This window comes from Homo sapiens, chromosome 17 (genome assembly GCF_000001405.40).
Source record: "Homo sapiens chromosome 17, GRCh38.p14 Primary Assembly".
Classification (NCBI taxonomy): Eukaryota; Metazoa; Chordata; class Mammalia; order Primates; family Hominidae; genus Homo; species Homo sapiens.
The window spans coordinates 79638047-79656954 of record NC_000017.11 but is presented as its reverse complement, the minus strand read 5'-3'; the positions used below and the strand labels follow the sequence as shown (position 1 = coordinate 79656954).

Below are 18908 nucleotides of genomic sequence, written 5' to 3'. Positions count from 1 at the left end.
ACTGCCTGTTTTTGTCTATAAATTTCTCTTTTCTTTTCCTTCCTTCCTTCCTTCCTTCCCTCCTTCCTTCCTTCCTTCCTTCCCTCCCTCCCTCCTTCCCTTCTTTTCTTTTCTTTCTTTCTTTTCTTTCTTTCTTTCTCTTTCTTTTCTTTCTTTCTTTCTTTCTTTCTTTCTTTCCTTCCTTCCTTCCTTCCTTCCTTCCTTCTTTCTTTCTTTCTTTTCTTTCTTTCTGTCTCTCTCTCTCTCCTTCCTTCCTTCCTTCCTTCCTTCCCTCCTTCCTTCTTTCCTTTCTTCTCTTCCTTTCTTTCTTCTCTTCCTTTCTTTCTTCTCTTCCTTTCTTTCCTTTCTTGGCTCACTCTGTCACCCAGGCTGAAGTGCAGTGGTGTGATCTTGGCTCACTGCAACCTCCGCCTCCCACGTTCAACCGATTCTCCTGTCTCAGCCTCCCGAATAGCTGCGATTACAGGCACACGCCACCATGTCCGGCTAATTTTTGTATTTTTAGTAGAGATGGGGTTTCACCATGTTGGCCAGGCTAGTCTTGAATGCCTGACCTCAAGTTATGCGCCCACTTCTGCCTCCCAAAGTGCTGGGATTACAGGTGTGAGCCACCGTGCCCGGCCTTGTCCATAAAGTTTCATTGGCACACAGCCTCGCCCATTAATGTGTGCATTGTCAATGGCTGCTTTGGAGACAAGGGTAGAGTGGAGGAGTTGCAGGAGAGACAATGTGACCAGAAATGCAGAACAGATTCACCTCCTGACCCTTGACAGCAAGTTGGCCGGCCCCTGGGTTGAAAAGCTGCCTTCCTTTGGGCTGTTCACAGAGCAGAGCTGTGACAAGGACGTGGGTTCTGGTGGTTTGCTTGAGAGTGATCTCAGAAGCAAGAGTGCGGGGGAGGCAGTGAGGCAGGGACGGGGAGCCCAGCCTAAAGCTTCCCTCGGGGTCCCTGCAGAAGGCTCTGGGGCCATTCTGGAAGGCCTGCAAGAAGGTAGAGAATGGCATCCAGAGGTTTAGGGGCTGAGGTAAGCAGGACTAGGGGCTGGATGGGTCAGGCGGGTCGGGCAGTGGGAAGGTCGAGAATGTCTCCCATGAGTGTGACTGGTGTGGGGCTGGGGTGAGGAGGCATTGGCTAAGTCAGGAGTATTGGTGGACACCCCATACTGAGGGATGATTTTGAGGTCAGATTTGGACATCCCTTGACCACACTGACTGTTCCAGAACCTTCTTATAGAGAGATCATGGGCCATACCTGCTTTCTACCTCATAAGAGTCTCAGTGAGTCTGGAGCTGTACTTCATTCTCACACATGGGTGTTTTGGAAGCAAAAGGCACAGCCAGTCCCTGTCAGGGTCAGTAAAGGCCACCAATGGCCTCCTGCCGGCTCAGGTCAAGTTTTGCTGCCAAATGAGTTTTACTGCCAAAATTAGAAGGTAAAACTTTAGGCTTTCAGAGCTTTTGGAATTTTTGAATTTAGGATAAAGGGTTTGGACACATAGTCACAGCTTACATTGGTTGAGGACTTTCTATTTGACAGTTACTGCAATTTTTATGCATTACTTCATTGAGTCCTATAGATGGCTCTGGGGGGTGGGAACGTGGTTATTTCCCTGGGCACACAGCCTCAAGGTCACCTGGTCAGGGAGTCCAGGAACTGAGACATGAACCTAGGGCCTGGCCACCGTCAGTGACTTCCCTGTCTCCCGCTTTTTCCCCCTGCGGACTTAGGTCAGACCTGTGCCCTCTTCGTGCTGGTCCGGGTGCAGGGCTTTTCCTGTGGCCCCAGGGACCAGTGCAGGACACAGAATAGCACTCAGCAGAGTGGACTGACCTGAGCTTCCACCCGACATTTAACTCACGGCCCGGTGTGTTCATCTACTTGGGTGCTTTCCCTTCCAACAGCCTCGTCGGGAAGCTAAGCCTCAGACTCGTGCTAATGGCATGGTCCAGTCGCTTTGGAACTCTCCTCTAGAATCCCATTCAGACTGTACAGTTTATTCTGTTTTTCCTGTCCTTCCGCGGAGTCAGATCTTAGTCCTTAGACGGTAGGCTCGCTTTGTGGAAGCAGCCAGGAGGCATTTGCATAATGTTGCTTCAGAGAGAGGGAGAGGCCCATAAAGCGATGAGACCCATTTTCTCCTTGTGGATTTTACGTTGGCTCTGAAGGCCACCTCTCAAAGTGGAATTCCCAGATGTTCCAAATGAGATAGCATTTTAAAAAAGGGGCCCTCCCCTGCAAGGTGCTAAAACGATTCTGAAGGACAAAATTCTGCTACCTGGGTAAGTCCAGTTCTTTTTGTTTGGAAATCAGGTCATTTTGTTAAAGTTAGAGCTCCTTAATAGGGACTCCTTCCCTTACACCGAGGGGCTTGTACCTGGGGGCGGTTGGTGCCCATGTCTATTTGAATTCTCCAGCTGGGCCGTAGACTTTTTGATCTGTAGAGTTTTCAATGTCTTCAGAAAAGGATCAGGAACATGGGCTGAGTCTTTTAGACATGCCCCAGCCAAGGTAACCTTTTCTAATGCTTCTTTCATTTGCTTAGGTGTGTCTGGAACTCATTTTCCAGTGTCTTCCCTTTCCCTGCTCCCTGACCTCAGTGCCAGGCCACCTGCCCTAGAAGAGTCTTCCCACTGTGAAAAAATTCTTTGGAGGGTAGTCTAGAGGGGCTCAGGGGCTGGAGAGTCCGAAAGCTGGTCAGAGACTGGCTGTGCTGGTTGTTACCCACCCATCTTGGGGTAAACACAGCCTCTCCGGTGCTCGATTTACCAGTCTGTGCAATGAATGAGTGGCTTGGACCAGAAAACTGGAAGGCCTTTGCAAGCTGTATACGTCCACAATTCCCTCTTTCTTTCATGCCCTTGTTTATCCTTTTAGCAAAACTGCTTGCTTTAGATAACCTACTTTGTGGAGATGAAAAAAAAAAGAGCAGTATTTCTTTCAAAATCATACTGTTCAGGTGACAAACCAAACAACTTGTATGAATTGGTGAGACTTTCCAGTACAGGTGCCCTAACATTTTATTTTTATGAGTTTTTAAAAAGCTGAATTAACTTTTTTTTTTTTTTTTTTTGGTGGTAGAGACAGGGTCCTGCTATGTTGCCTAGGCTGGCCTCAAACTCCTGGTCTCAAGCAAGACTTCCACCTCAGCCTCCCAAAGTGCTGGAAATCCAGCTAACTTTAAAAAAAAAACCACGACATGCAAATAGTTTTAAAATTGAAATTATGCTCCAAATTTATAATAAACACCAGCATTCTCTTTCCCCCTTCCTACTTCTGCCTATTCTTCTACTGCTAGCTGTTTCTTCCGGAATTAACCTCTGCATTTCTGAACATTGCTTATACACTCGAAGCTATCGATTCATTATTTTTACACTTCATCTTTAAGCTTTCTTTTATGGTAGATCGGGTTTTTATCTCACTTACACCTAAACAATGAAACCTCAATCTTCGTTAAATCTACATTAAGGTTTTTCTTACTATAACAATGATAACTGTAACATTTTTCTTTTTTGTTGTACAACTTTCTGTTTATCCTGGAGTTAATAATGGCTTAGGGTTTTGTACACCTTCCAACATGCCTTTTCATACAACCTTCCACGTAGTCAACACATCTTAGCCCTCTTTTCTGCCTGGGGAAGTTGTCCTGGGGCCCTCAGACCTGTGCCCTGGCACTCACAGGTTACTGTTAAGGCAGCTGCAGGGCTCTCATCCAGGACTTTTCTTTGCTCAACCCTGTGCCGACGTGCATGTTCCTGGATCTAGCAGCTTTATCTTTTTGTTTACTGCTTGGCCTTAGTGGAGCACATTCTCTTATAATATCCTAAGCCTCTTTATTCTGTTCTCATGTTCAGTTAACGAGTCTGGTTGAGTACAGAATCCTGGGTTTGAAATTATTTTTACCTAGAATTTCGAAGGCATTTTTTTTCCCACTAAATTCTGATTTCCATGCTGCTGTAGAAAATGGTGATGACATTCAGCTTTTGATCCTATTATATGGCCCCATTTTCTTCTCTCTGGAAGCTTTTATCCTTGGTGTTCTGAAATGTCATAAAGGTGTGCCTATAGTTTTCATTGTTTGGACACTTGGAATGGTCTTAAACCTGAAGACTTAATGCCTTTCAGTTCTGGGGACATTTATGGTATTATTTCTTTGATAATTTTATTCCCTTAATTTTCTCTGTTCTCTCTGGAACTTCTGTTTATCAAATGCTGGAACTCCTGGCTTCATTACCTAACTCTTCAGTTAAAACAAACAAAAACCGACTGTACATTTCTTTGCCTTTTTGTCCTGCTTCCTGGGAAATGTTCTCAATCTTTCTTTTTCCCTTTTCCCTTTCCTTTCCTTTCCTTTCCTCTCCTCTCCTCTCCTCTCCTCTCCTTTCCTTTCCTTTCCTTCCTCTCTTTCTCTCGTTCTTTTCCCCCTCCCCTCCCCTCTCCTTTCCTTTTCCTTTCCTTTCTTCTGCACCTATCCCACACTCTCTTTCTCTCTCTCTCTCTCTCTTTCTTTCCAGACAGGATCTTGCTTTGTCACCCCAGCTGGAGTGCACTGGTACAATCATAACTCACTGCAGCCTTGACCTCCTGGGCTCAAGCATCAATTTTATTTTCTAACACTTCTATTGACCCCAGCTTATGTTATTATATTTAACTTGCAAACATTCTTGTTCTCTATTTCTTCTTGTTTCATGGATGTAGTATCTTTTCTCATCTCTGTGACAATATTAATGGATTCTTTGAAGTTTTCTTCTCTTTGTAAAGCATACACTTGTACTAGTTATCTATTACTATGTCACAAATTACCCCCAAACACAATGGTTTAAAACAGCAAATGGCTTTTATCTCACAGTTTCCATGGGCGGGGGATCTGGTTGGGCTTAGCTGGGTGGTTCTGGCTTGGGGTGTGTCGTGAATTTGCAGTCAATATGTTTGCCAGGGCTGGGGGCATCTAGGGCATGACTGGGGATGAAGGATCTGCTCCCAAGCTCAGCCACTTGGTTGCTGGCAGGAGCTGCAGTTCCTCGGCACGTGAGCCTCTCCATATGGCTGCTTGACATGGCAGGTGGCTTCCCTCAAAGCCAGTGATGGGGGGTGGTGGAGGGGGGGAAAGAGAGAGAAGAGAGAGAGAGAGGAAGAAGACAGAGAGAAAGACAGAGAAGGAGAGGGAGAAGGATGGACAGGGAGAGGGAGGGGGAGACAGAGAGAAAGGCAGAGAGAGAAGGAGAGAGGGAGGGAAAGAGAGACAGGGAGGGAGGGGGGAGGGGGAGGGAAGGAGGGAGGGAGAGAGGCGGGGGAGGAGAGAGAGAGACAGAGAGAGAGAGAGAGAGAGAGGAAAGGGGGCAAGAGAGAAAAGGAGAAAGGGAGAGGACAAACCAAGATGGAAGCTGCAGCATCTTCTGTAGCTTAATCTCGGAAGTGCCATATCACCAGTCACATTGCATGCCACACTCCATCAGTCACAGAGACCAACCTGGAACAGTGGGAGGGGACGGCCCGGGGGTGTCACCACCAGAAGGCAGCCATTTTGGAGTCTGGCACCACAGAACATGATCCGCATCTTCCCCTGTCTGTTGTTTTGGTTGCTGTTGTCCACTGGAGACTTTTCTCAACTCTCTGGCGCTGTCTGTCTTTCCCCTTATGTTTAAGACCTGCAGCATCGAGCTGATGGCCAGGAGCTCACAGACCCTCTCTATCTAGGTTCCTCCAGAAGCCAACCCTGAGCCAAGGCTTGGGGGAAAGCAGTTTACTGGGGAGGTGGAGGAAGCCCTGGTAGGGGAAGTGGGCACGTGGACCCTGGAAGGGAAGGCCGCCAAGAAGGGGTGCATCACCAAACCGGCGACTTGGTGACTCAATCCTGCAGTGCGTGTGTTTGGAACTCAACCCTGCAGGGACCTCTGAGGAACAGTGCAGAACACACACCTGGAATCCCCTGCCTGGATGGCGCTGGCGGAGCTGGGGTGTTTATGCCCCACCTCAGGCGAGTCCCGGGTGCAGGGCTCTTGGAGAGGCCGAGGGTAAAGGCCAGGACCCTGTCACCCCCACGAGAGGCAGAGCCATCTTCTGAGGTTTTAGGAGAAGCTTCAGGCATGGAGATGCTGGTGCCACCCTGGAGCCTGCAGGGCGCTTGGAGATGCCGGGGACTGGTGGGCGCTGACGTCGATGGCAGTCTTCCCTCGGGGGCCATGGGTGGACAGCTGCCTTTCTACTGTGACTCCTAAGTGTCGGTGTATTTATAGGTCTGTTCTCTGGGGAGCTTTAGTCTCTCCAGAAGTGCATCCTCTGATCTGCCTGGGGTGGGTCCTGGGTTCTGGGGTGGGCAGTGGAGGGGCCGGAGACTTCTGTTTAATAGTCCTTCAGTACTGTGCTTGTCCCCTGCTCTGTGAGCCTGGCATCCCTGAGCCCCAGGTCTCTCTGGTTCACGTCCTAGTGGAAATGCGCCTCAGTGGGTGGGAGAGCGGCGTGGCTGCAATGAGGCTGGCAGGGTGCAGAATCCTTATGAGAACCCCCAGTGCCTTGGCCTCCCCTGGGCCTTTAAAGTACCCAGGGCCTCTGCTTTCCCTGAGTTTTGGAGGTTCCTTAGGGCAAATCAACTTGCTTGCCATCAGCAGCCCCGTCCCTGGCCCACCCCACAGGTCCCTAGCTCTGCCCTTCTCCCTCGGCCCGGGCATCCAGCATTACTCTCTAATTCATTCTGTTTCTGCTTCTTATCTGTTTTGGGTGATTAGAGAGAGAAAGGAGTGGAAAAATCGAATCCCCCCAGTTTAGTTGGGGATAATTCACCATCAGTTGTTGGGAACTTCCAGCAAAGCTTTCCCTAGAAACATTGTTTTTATGATGAGAGGTCCTTGCACAGGCACTGATATGGTTTGGATCTGTGTCTCTGCTCAAATCTCATGTTGAAATGTAATCCCCAATGTTGGAGGTGGGGCCTGGTGGGACGTGATTGGATCAGGGGGCCGGTTTCTCATGAATGGGTTAGCACCCACCCTTTGGTACTGTCTTCCTGATAGTGAGTGAGTTACTGTGAGATCTGATTGTTTAAAGTGGGTAGCGCCTCCCTCCCTGCTTGTTCCTGCTCCACCATGGAAGATACCTTGCTTCCCCTTCGCCTGCCTCCATGACTGTAAGTTTCCTGAGGCCTCCCCAGAAGCCAAGCAGATGCCAGCATCATGCTTCCTGTACAGCCTGCAGAACCTTGAGCCAATTAAACCTCTTAAAAAATTACCCAGTTTCAAGTATTTCTTTTTTTCTTTTTTGAGGTGGAGTGTTGCTCTGTCGGCTGAAGTGCAATGGCGCTATCTCCGCCCACTGCAACCTCCGCCTCCCAGGTTCAAGTGATTCTCCTGCGTCAGCCTCCCCAGTAGCTGGGATTACAGGCCTCCGCCATCATGCCTGGCTAGTTTTTGTATTTTTCGTAGAGACGGGGTTTCACCACATTGGCCAGGCTGGTCTTGAACTCCTGACCTCAGGTGATCCACTCGCCTCGGCCTCCCAAAGTTCTGGAATTATGGGTGTGAACCACTACACCTGGCCAAGTATTTCTTTATAGCAGTGCAAGAACAGACTAATGTAGGTGCATTCAAAGTTGTTGGGTGAGTCAGGATAAACCAGGTTCTTCTGTGCTAACAAACAAGCCCAGGCATCTCACTGGCTTGTCCCAGTAGATGTTTATTTCTCAGCTGGTCATGGTGGCTCACACCTGTAATCCCAGCACTTTGGGAAGCCAAGGTGGGAGGATCACTTGAGGCTAAGAGTTTGAGACCAGCCTGGGCAATCATCAAGACCCCATCTCCACCAAAAAATAAAAATAATTAGCCAGGCATGGTGGTGTGTGCCTGTAGTCCCAGCTACTTGGGAGGCTGAGGCAGGAGGATCACTTGAACCCATAAAGTGGAGGCTGCAGTGAGCTGCAATTGTAGCTCTGCACTCCAGCCTGGGTTACAGAGTGAGACTATGTTTCAAAAAAAAAAAAAAAAAAGACATTTTTCACTCATGCTAAGCTGATTGAGCTGTCTTCCTTATCCTGTGGCCATGGCATCTGGAATGTAACACCACAGGTGGCTGTGGTGGGGCATAGGTGTGGGTGGGAGAGGCTGGAGCAAGAGGGTTTTAAGGGCCAGGTGTGAAACGGCTTGTATCATTTCTGCCCGCAACCCACTGGCCACAGGGATCCAGCATCCTGCAAGGGAGGCTGGGAAACCTTGATGGCGTGGGGACATTTGGAGAGCAGCCCCAGCCCCTGCCGGAGTTATGTAACCGCTTCCATACCTGGCCATGGCTCTGAGGGGTGTCCTTGGACCCTAATACCAGGAAGTACTGCCATGCCCCCATCGGCCCCAACGAGGCAGAGGTGGCCAGGTCCTGTGGAGGGATGACAGAGTCACAGCCACAGCTAACATCGTGGAGTACTTGCTGTTTGCAGGGCTTGCTGGACATGCTTCAGGCACAGCCTCCTTACCAGCCTCTGCAATGGGGCCACGCCTGTCCCCACAATGCTATTGCAGGGGTCTGGAGAGCTTGGTAACTGGAGAGCAGGATGCAAACCCAGGCATCTGTTTCATACCTCAGCGGCCCAGTTCTTGGGTGACCTGCCTCTGGGGAGGACGTGCCCGTGAGTTAGGTCCTGACTGTGCAGCCTAAGCTAAGCTCTAGGTCTCCATTACCCACGTCATCTGCACCGCTCCCTGTCCTGCAGGTACTCTTGCCAGTCCCATGCTGGCCATGAGCAGAGCTCATCTTGAGTGTCCCTGACCACATTCATAGGCCCATCCAGTTCGTCTCACACTGTCTGACCATGCCTGATGCTCCCAACTCTGAGAACTGTTGCTTCGGAGGGACTAGCAGTGCCCACTACTGCACCCCCAGACCAGCTCTGCATCCACCACTGCACCCTGAGATGGGCTCCGTGTCCCCTGCTGGACCCCCAGGAGGCTCTGTGTCTCCTACTGCACCCCCAGGTGGGCTCTGTGTCCACCACTGCACCCCCAGGTGGGCTCTGTGTCCACCACTGCACCCCCAGGTGGGCTCTGTGTCCACCACTGCACCCCCAGGTGGGCTCTGTCTCTACCACTCCACCCCCAGGTGGGCTCTGTGTCCACCACAGCACTGGCCCTGGAGGTGGGAGACAGGTGTGAGTTGGGGGTGGGGCAGGGTGACCCGGGCCATTGGAGAGTGGGGTGGAAGGTTGGGGAGGAGGCAGGGGTCAGGTGGATCGAAGCCCTGAGCCACAAGGCCCTGGTCATGCGCTGTGCCATGACCTTGTGCAGTTAGGGGCAGCAGGGCCTGTGGGCTGGGGTGCTCTGTGTGGCATGTGCTTCTCTGGTGCTCCCACAGATGTGGGATGGCCCCAGGCTCCCGGGGCTGGGGGAGATGGCAGAGAGCTGACTCTGGGCCAGAGATTTCCCAGTGCCGGGAAATGGAGACAGTGTGGAAGCAGCTATGTTTAGACGTAATTACTCTGTCTTGTGCAGAGGTATTAAGGCATCCTCCCCGGCAGTTGCATGAATTAGCTGGAGGCATTGCTGACATGAGTGGCAGCTGCTGTGCTGTGGGTCTCATTGCTGCTTTCCTGTGCAGAGACCTCGCACTGCGTTGAGGCAGAGGAGGGTCAAAGGGGCAACTGGAGGCTATGGGAGAGAGGAACTCACCCATTTTCAGGGGAATGTGTTGTTCCTGGGAGCCATTCCCATGGATGTGTCAGGCTTTCTGCAGGCGACACCGGTGGAGTGATGCTGACAGCGGCTGCTCAGTTCATGGTTGTTTATGAAAGGTGCCCTGTTGCTGGGCATGGCTGGGCACGGCTCTAGGCATCAGGGCTACAGCTCAGCCATGAGCAGATGAAGTCCTCTCACTCATTCTAGTGCAAGGAGATCACACACACACACACACACACACACGGCAGTGAAAATGTCACAGAGGAAATAAAATCAAGGAGGAGAGGTGGGGTTGGCCTGTCCCCTGTCCCCTGGCTCCACTGCTGGGCTGGGGATGCTGTAGTTGTACACTGGGCCATCCTCTCTGCTAAGGCCAGGCAGTGCAAAGGCCTGAGTGAGGCCAGCAAGTGAACTGTGTGGGTATCTGGGGAAAAGCAGGTCAGGCAGATGGATCAGCACTTGCAAAGGTCATGGGGCAGAGGGTGGCTGGCAGGACAGAGGGACAGTCAGGGTGCTGGCGGCAGAGCAGAGCCAGACAGGAGAGATATTGGGGTTGGGGGTAGCAAATGGGCAGGTCAGGTTTGGTCTTTGTGATATGGGTGATATGGTTTGGCTGTGCCCCCACCCAAATCTCACCTTGAATTATAATAATCCCCACATGTCAAGGGCAGGGCCAGGTGGAGATAATCAAATCATGGGGGCAGTTTCCCCCATATTGTTCTCATGGTAGTGAATAAGTCTCACAACAGCTGATGGTTTTATAAGTGTGAGTTCCCCTGCACACACTCTCTTGCCTGCTACCACATAAGACATGCGTTTGCTTCTCCTTTGCCTTCTGCCATGACTGTGAGGCCTCCCCAGTTATGTGGAACTGTAAGTTCATTAAACCTCTTTTCTTTATCAATTACCCAGTCTGTATTAGCAGTGTGAGAACAGACTAATACAATGGGACTCATTTTTCTTTTTCAGTTTTTGGTTAAACTTCTCATGTCACGTTTTCTGACAACACCTTCCATTGTACCATCTGTTTCTGAACAATACCTGGGACATTGCAAACTTGTTCTGCAAGAATACCCTGGGTCTCAGTGTGTGTGACAAGGGATGGAAGGTGAGTTTCCTAAGAAAAAAATCAATTGTACATTTTGGGCACATGCATGACAGATCACGGTGTCTTTCTGGGGAAGGGAGTGGCTGGGGGTTGGGGGTGAGATACAAGATCCCGAAGCCCACTAACTGTGAAAGGGTGGAGGGGGAGAGGCCAGGAGACCAAGAGAAGATGTGGATCTTAGTGCAAGGGAGAGAGTGGGGAGAGAGGTGGATGTAAAGAGAGGAAACAGTTTTTGCGGGAGGTGCAGGAGCATCCATCTAAATCAAGGATGTCGAATTATTGCAGATTCCTTTTGAGTCCTGACAAACTTCACAGGTTGGTTCTGGGCCCCTCCATGGGGGTGTCTCAAGGTTCCCTCTACTTTACCCCATCTGCCTGCCAGGTGAGGGCTCCTCTTCTGTCAGGTGAGGGCTCATTGCAGGCTAACCCCGCTTCACTCCTTCTGCCCTGGCCAGGCAGCCCTGTGCCTTAAGTGAAGGAGGCCGCTGCGGTCCAGGCAGCAAGTGTTTAAGGGAAAGACGGTGAACTGGATGATGCCAGGGATGGGCTGGGCAGTTGGGTGATGCCAGGCCTGGGCTCCCTGGGCTGGACTGGGAAGTTGGCAGACCCAGTGGCAAGTGTAGGGCTGGAAGCAGGGGATGGAGAGAAGGGGCAGCTGGAAGGTATGAGGTCTTAAGAGGGTCCTCAGGCAAGCCTCGCTTAGAAGGTGACATTCAGCATCATCTTGAAGGGTGGGGAAGAGGCATGAGGATATCTGAGGAGGATTATTCCAGGTAGGGGCCACCAGAACTGCAAGGTCTCCGTGGCCAAAGTGTGCTTGGCATTTGGTGGCGCATAAAGAGGCGGTGTTTCTGGCGGGTGGCTAGTCAGGAGGAGGAGGGTGGGACTGAGGGGTGGGGCACACCACACAGGTGCACTTGCTGGACATTGCACGCAAGGTTTTGGGGTTCTGAGCAGAGGAGGGACATGAACTGACCTAAGAATGAGCGAAAGAAGAATAAGCGAAAGGCGGGGTGTGGATGTGGGGAGACCGTTCGGGGGCTTCACGATGGCCCAGGTGAGCGGTAAGGGCAGCTTGAGTCTGAGCAGTGGTGGCAGAATTGGTGAGAAGTGATTAGACTCTGAGTATATTGTGAAGGCAGAGTCAGCACAAGTTTACTGCTAGATTACACACGAAGCCTGAAAGGAAGAGAGGAGGTGAGGATAACTACAGGTGTTTTGTTTTTCTGAACAATTGGAAGAATAAAGTTGCCATTTTCTGAGCCTTCCACATTTCCATAAAAATTTTAGAACCAGCTTGTCAATTTCTACAAAGAAGCCTGTTGGGATTCTGATTACAGTTGCATTGAATTTCTATATTGAGTGGAAGAAAATGACGTCATAGCAATATGGAATTCTCTGCTTACATAATCATGATATATGTCTTCATTTGTTTAGGTCTTCTTTACTTTCGCCCAGAGATGCTTTTAATTTCTTCCTGAGATATTTAATTTCCAACGTACACTTCGTTCACATGTTATTAAACCTATTTTAAAATTTATTATTTGTGGCATCATTGCAAGTGGATTTAAAAAATGTTATTTATTATTTTTATCTCTAAACATAAAAATACAATTGATCTTTAAGTATTGATTACGTATATTATGATCTTGATAAATACACTGCTTAGTTCTAGTTATGTTATAGATTCTTTAGGATTTCTTAATATAAAAGACCTTGCATTGCTGAGATAAAATTCAACAATGTTACTGCTAATTTTATTTTGCTAGTATTTTGTAGAGAATTTTTGTTTCTATATTCATGAGTTATGTCAGTCTGTGCTTTTCTTTGTAATGTCTTTATCAGTTTTTGATATCATAGTTATGTTGGCCTCATAAAGCATACTGGGAAGATTTTACTTTATTTTCTGCAAAAGTTCCAGTAGAATTATTTCTTCTTTGAATGTTTTGATAGAATTCACCAGTAAAACCACCTGGACCTGAAATTTTTTCATGGGAAAGTTTTTGATGATGTATTCAATCTCTACTCAAATGTTCTATTTCATCTTGTGTCAATTTTGGTAAGTTGTGTTTTCAGAAATATGTCCATCTCATTTAAATAGTTGAATGTATTGGCATAAAGTTGTTCTTAATATTCCATTATTAACCTTTTAATATATGTAGGATTTCTAGAGATCTCTCTTGTGTTTTCTCTTTTTTTATTGATCTTTTCAAAGAACCATCTTTTAGCTCTGTTAATTTTCTTTTTGTCTGTTTTCCATTTACTCAATTTCTGCTATTATTTGTATTATTTCCTTTTAATTACTTTTTAAGAAAAAGTTTTGTAAGGTAGAAGCTTAGTTCATTAATTTGAGAACGTCTTTTTTAATATAAGCATATTAAAGCTACAAATTTTCTCTAAGCTTTATTTTAGCTATAGTTCACAAATTTTGATATTTGTTTCTTCATTACTGTTCAGTTTGAAATATTTTAAAATGTGCTTTGTGATTTCTACTTTGACCTATAGAATATTTAGAAATGTATTGTTTAATTTCCAAATATTTGGGGGATTTTCCCATATATCTTATTGTCATCAATTTTTAATTTAGTTCCGTGTGGTCAGAAAACATATTCAGCAAGTTTCAATCTTTTGAAATGTATGAAGACTTTTAAAAAAATGGCCCAGCACATGATCTATCTTGGTGAATATGTCATGTAAACTTGAAAAGAATGAGTATTTGGCAGTTGTTGAATTTAGTGTTCTATAAATGGCTATTAGGACAAAGTAGTTAATGATGTTATTCAGATTTTCTCTTGACTTGTTCTATCAGTTGTCAAGAGAGGGGTGTTAGAATTTCCAACTATGATTATAGATTTCTCCCTTTAATTCTTTTGGCTTTTTCCTTATGTATTGTGAAGTTCTTCTCTTAGGCCCTTTATGCTTGCGAATTATATATTTTCCTAAAAATTAAATCTTTTAATATTACGTGATGTTACTCTTTATTTCTGTTAATATCCATTGTCTTCAAGTCTAATTTATTTTCATTAATGTAACCCATCTAGCCTTCTTATGCTTATTGTTAGCATGGTATCATTTTTAAGCCTTTTGTTTTTTAGAGACAGGGTCCAACTTTGTTGCTCAGGCCAGAGTGGAGTGGTGTGATCACAGCTCACTGCAACCTTGAACTCTTGGGCTTGAGCGATCCTCCCAGCTCAGCCTCCTGAGTAGCTGAGACTATAGGAGTGCACCACTATGCCAGGCTAATTTAATTTTTTGTAGAGACGAGGTCTCTCTATGTTGCTCAGGCTCATTTTAAGCCTTTTAAAAAGTGCTCGATCTATATTTGTAGCTGATAACCTCCACCTTTTAACTGAAAGATTTAGTCCATTGGTATTTTGCGTACTTATTGATATGGCTAGAATTGATCTATCATTTTCCTATTTGTTTTCTGTTTGTGTCCTCTGTTTCTCGTGCATTTGTACCTCCTTCTCGGCCTTCTTTGTGGTTAACTTTGTTTGTTTTAGTGTTCCATTTTAATTTATATATTAGCTTTGTCTGCTGTACTTTTTACTTTATCTAGACTTTATACTTTTTTTCCCTATAATAAGCCCATATGACATTAACAATAAAAAAGTGAAGTGAGAGAGATCATTAAATTCACAAGAAAATGACAGCATGCTTTCTTAAAATACTTTCCTCTAGCTTTATGGAGGTATACTTGACAAATAAAAATTGTATATATTTAAGGTGTAAAACATGATGAATTTGTATATATATATACATTGTGAAATGGTTACTGCAATCAAGCAAATTAACATGCCTATCACTTCACATAGTTGCAGTATTTTTTGTTGTGGTGAAGATACTTAAAAATCTACCCTCTTGGCAAATTTCAACTATTATTAACTATAGTCACCATAATGTACATTAGATTTCTGGAACTTATTTATCCCACATAACCGGACCTTTATGTCCTTTGGCCAACACCTCCTCATTTCCTCCCACCCTTCAGCAATGGCAGCCATCATTCTATTATTTGTTTTTATGAGTTTGACATTTTTAGATTCCACATATAAGTGAGATAATGCGGTATTTGTCATTCTGTGTCTGGCTTATTTCACTTAACATAATGTCCTTGTACTAGTCCATTCTTACTTTGCCATAAAGAAATTCCTGAGACTGGGTAACTCATTAAAAAAAGAGGTTTAATTGGTTCACAGTTCTGCAGGTTGTACAGGAAGCATGGTGGCATCTGCTTCTGGGGAGGCCTCAGGAAACTTATAATCATGGTGGAAGGTGCAGGGGGAGCTAGCACTTTACATGGCCAGAGCAAGAGGAAGAGAGAGGGGAAGGTGCCACACATTTTTAAACAACCAGGTCTCATGAGAACTCATTATCAGCACAACAGCACCAAGGGAGATGGTGTTAAAACATGAGAAACCTCCCCCATAATCCAATCACTTCCCACCAGGCCCCTCCTCCAACATTGGGGATTAGAATTAGACATGAGATTTGGGTGGGGACACAGATCCAAATCATATCAGTCCTCCAGGTTCATTTGTGTTGTTGCAAATGGCAGGATTTTCTTCTTTTTAAAGGCTGAATAGTTTTCTATTATGTATGTAACGTCTTCTTTAACCATTCATTTACTGATGGACACTTAAGTTGTTTCCCATTTCCATATCTTGGCAATTGTGAATAATGCTGCAATAAACATGGGGGTGCAGTTGTCTCTTTGAGAAACTGATTTCATTTTCTTTGAATATATACCTAGAAGTAGTCTTGCTGGATCATATGGTAGTTCTATTTTTAATTTTTAAGGACTCCATACTGTTTTCCCTAATGGCTGTACCAACATACATTTCTACCAACAATGTACAAGGTTTCCCTTTTCTTCGCATCCTTGCCCATACTTGTTATCTTTTGTCTTTTTGATAATAGCCATCCTAACAAGTGTGAGGGAATATCTAACTGTGGTTTTGCTTTGCATTTCTCTGATAGTTAATAATGACCACCTTTTCATATACCTATTGGCCATTTGTATGACTTCTTTTGAGAAATGTCATTCAAGTACTTAGCCCATTTTAAACTTGGGTTATTTGTTTCTTTGCTATTAAGTTGTTTGAGTTCCTTATATATTTTGGATATTAACTTCTTGTTAGATATATGATTTGCAAATATTCCTCCCATTCTATAGCTTTCCTTTTCACCCTGGCTTTATTGTTTCCTTTGTTATGCAGAAGCTTTTTAGTTTGATGCAATCTCACTTATTTTTAGAATTATTGCCTATGCTTTTGGTGTCATATCCAAAAAAATCATTGGCCAGACCAATGTTAAGAAGTTTTTTTCCCTATGTTTTCTTCTAGTAGTTTTATGGCTTTGGGTCTTACATGTATGTCTTTAATCCATTTTAAGTTGATTTTTGTGTATGGAGTGAGGTGAGAGTCCAGTTTTATTCTCCTGTATGTGAATCTTCAGTTTTTTTAAACACCAGTTATTAAAGAGATTAGCCTTTCTCCATTGTGTGTTTTTGGCACCCTTGTTGAAGATCTGTTGATTATAAATGAATGAATTTATTTCTGGGCTCTCTATTTTGTTCGATTGGTCTATATATCTGTTTTATATCAGTACCATAATATTTTGATTACTGTAGCTTTGTGATATTTGAAATCAAGAAGTGTAATGCCTCCCGCTTTGTTCTTGTTCAAAATTGCTTGGCTATTCAGGATCTTTTGTGATTCCATACAAATTTTGGGATTATTTTTTCGTTTTTGTAAAGAATGCCATCGGGATTTTGATAGGGATTGCACTGAATTTGTGGATCACTTTGCGTGGTAGGTGGTATGCACATTTTAACTATATTAATTATTCCAATCCATGAACACAGGATGTCCTTTCATTTATGTCTATTTTCTTTAATTTCCTGCATCAGTGTTTTATAATTTTCACTGTACAAGCCCTCAACCTCTTTAAGTTTATTCCTAAGTCTTTTTTTGTTGCTATTGTGAATGGGATTACTTTCTTAATTTCCTTTTCACATACTTAATTGTTGTGTATAGAAACACAATTGATCTTTGTATGTTGACTTTGTATTCTGTAATTTTACAGAATTTTTTAAAGCAGTTTTTTGGTTGTTGAGTTTTTAGGGTTTTCTACGTATATCATCTTGCCATCTGCAAATAGAAAAAAATTTACTTCTTTCTGATTTGGATGCTTTTATTTCTTTTTCTTGTCTAATAGCACTGGCTAGAACTTCCTGTACTACGTTGAATAGAAATGATGGGAGTGGGCATCCTTTACTCGCACCAGATCTTATAGTAAGGCTTTCAGTTTTTTTCCCATTGATTATGATATTAGTTATGGGCTTTTACTGTGTTGAGGTAAGTTTCTTCTATAGCTATTTTGTTGAGAGTTTTAATCATGAATGGATGTTAAACTTTGTCAGATGCTTTTTCTATGTCTATTTAGATGATTATATAGATTTTCCCTTTCATTCTGTTAATGTAGTATATAACATTGATTTATGTATGTTGAACCATTCTTGCATTCCAGGGATAAATTCCACTTGGTCATAATGTATAATCCTTTTAATGTGTTGTTGAGTTCAGTTTACTAGTATCTTATTGGGAATTTTTTTGCATCTATGTTCATCAGAGATATTGCCCTGTAGTTTTCATTTCTTGTGGTGTCTTTGTCTGACTGTGCTATTAGGGTGATGCTAGCCTCATAAAATTAGCTTGGGGCTGGGTGCGGTGGCTCACGCCTGTAATCCCAGCACTTTGGGAGGCCAAGGTAGGCAGATCACGAGGTCAGGAGATTGAGACCATCCTGGCTAACACAGTGAAACCCCATCTCTACTAAAAATACCAAAAAAATTAGCCGGGCGCGGTGGTGGGTGCCTGTAGTCCCAGCTACTTGGGAGGCTGAGGCAGGAGAATGGCGTGAACCTGGGAGGCAGAGCTTGCAGTGAGCCGAGATTGCGCCGCTGCACTCCAGCCTGGGCGACAGAGTGAGACTCTGTCTCAAAAAAAAATAAACAATAAAAAATAAAAAAATAAATAAAATTAGCTTGGAAGTGTTCCCTCTTTTTCTATTTTTTGGAAGACTTTAAGAAGAACTAGTATTAGTTCTTTGATTGTTCCATATAATTCAACTGTGAAGCCATTTGATTCAGGGCTTTTCTTTGTTGAGTGGTTTTTGATTACTGATTCAGTCTCCTTCTTTGATATTTTTCTGTATTTTAGTCCATTTTGTCTTGCTATAAAATAGCTGAGCATGGGTAATTTATAAAGAAAAGAGATTTATTTGGCTCACAGACTACAAAAAGTGTGATGCCAGCATCTGCTTCTCATGAGGGCCTCAGGTTGCTGCCACTCATGTAGAAGGTGAAGGGGAGCTGGCTTGTGCAGAGATCACATGGCAGGAGAGGAAGCAAGAGAGAGCAAGTGGGGAGGTGCCAGGCTCTTTATAACAACCAGCTTTCACAGGAACTAATAGAGCAAGAACTTGCTCACCCCTCTTCCCTAAGAAAGGGCATTAACGTATTCATGAAGGATCCACTCCTGTGACCCAAACACCTCCCATTAGGTCCCACCTGCAACATTGGGGATCAGATTTCAACATGAGATTGGAGGAGACAAACATCCAAACTATAGGATGTTTAGGCTTTCTATTTCTTCCTGACTCAGTTTTGGTAGGTGGCATGTTTCTAAAAATTTATGCATTTCTTCTAGATTATCCCATTTGTTGGCATATAATTATACATGATAGTCCCTTATAATCTTTTTTATTTCAGAGACATTCATTTTAATACCTCTTTTAAAATTTCTGACTTTATTTATTTGAGCCTTCTCTCTTTCTTTGTATTGCTAAGGGTTTGTCAATTTTATTTTATTTAAAAAAAAAAAAAAAACCAACTCAGTTTTGTTAATTTTACCTATTGTTTTTCTATTCTCTATTTGACTTATGTCTGCTCTAATCCTTATTATTTCCCTTCTTCTACTATATTTGAGCTCAGTTTTCTCTTTTTCTACTTCCTTGAGATATAAAGTAGTTGTTTATTTGGAATCTTTCTTCTTCTTTTTAAAAATGTAGGCATTTATTTTAATAAGCTTTCCTCTTGGAACTGCTTTTGCTATATCCCATACATTTTGGTGTATTGTGTTTTTGT

The 18908-nt window shown here is 44.6% G+C and overlaps 1 protein-coding gene across 5 annotated transcripts in view; it reads left to right on the top strand.

Annotated features, from left to right (window-relative positions):
• RBFOX3 (RNA binding fox-1 homolog 3) overlaps positions 1-18908 on the top strand; it is a 576227-nt gene that overhangs the window by 8617 nt on the left and 548702 nt on the right. For 3 of the 5 annotated variants that reach the window (NM_001385807.1, XM_024450593.2, XM_024450592.2), the window contains exons 2-3: positions 10621-10759; positions 12713-12818. The exons of 1 other annotated variant lie outside the window; for it this stretch is intronic. The gene's annotated coding sequence lies outside the window, so the exon portion shown is untranslated. The remainder of the gene's footprint in view (positions 1-10620; positions 10760-12712; positions 12819-18908) is intronic. One more of the 5 variants, NM_001385805.1, reaches the window with a different exon arrangement.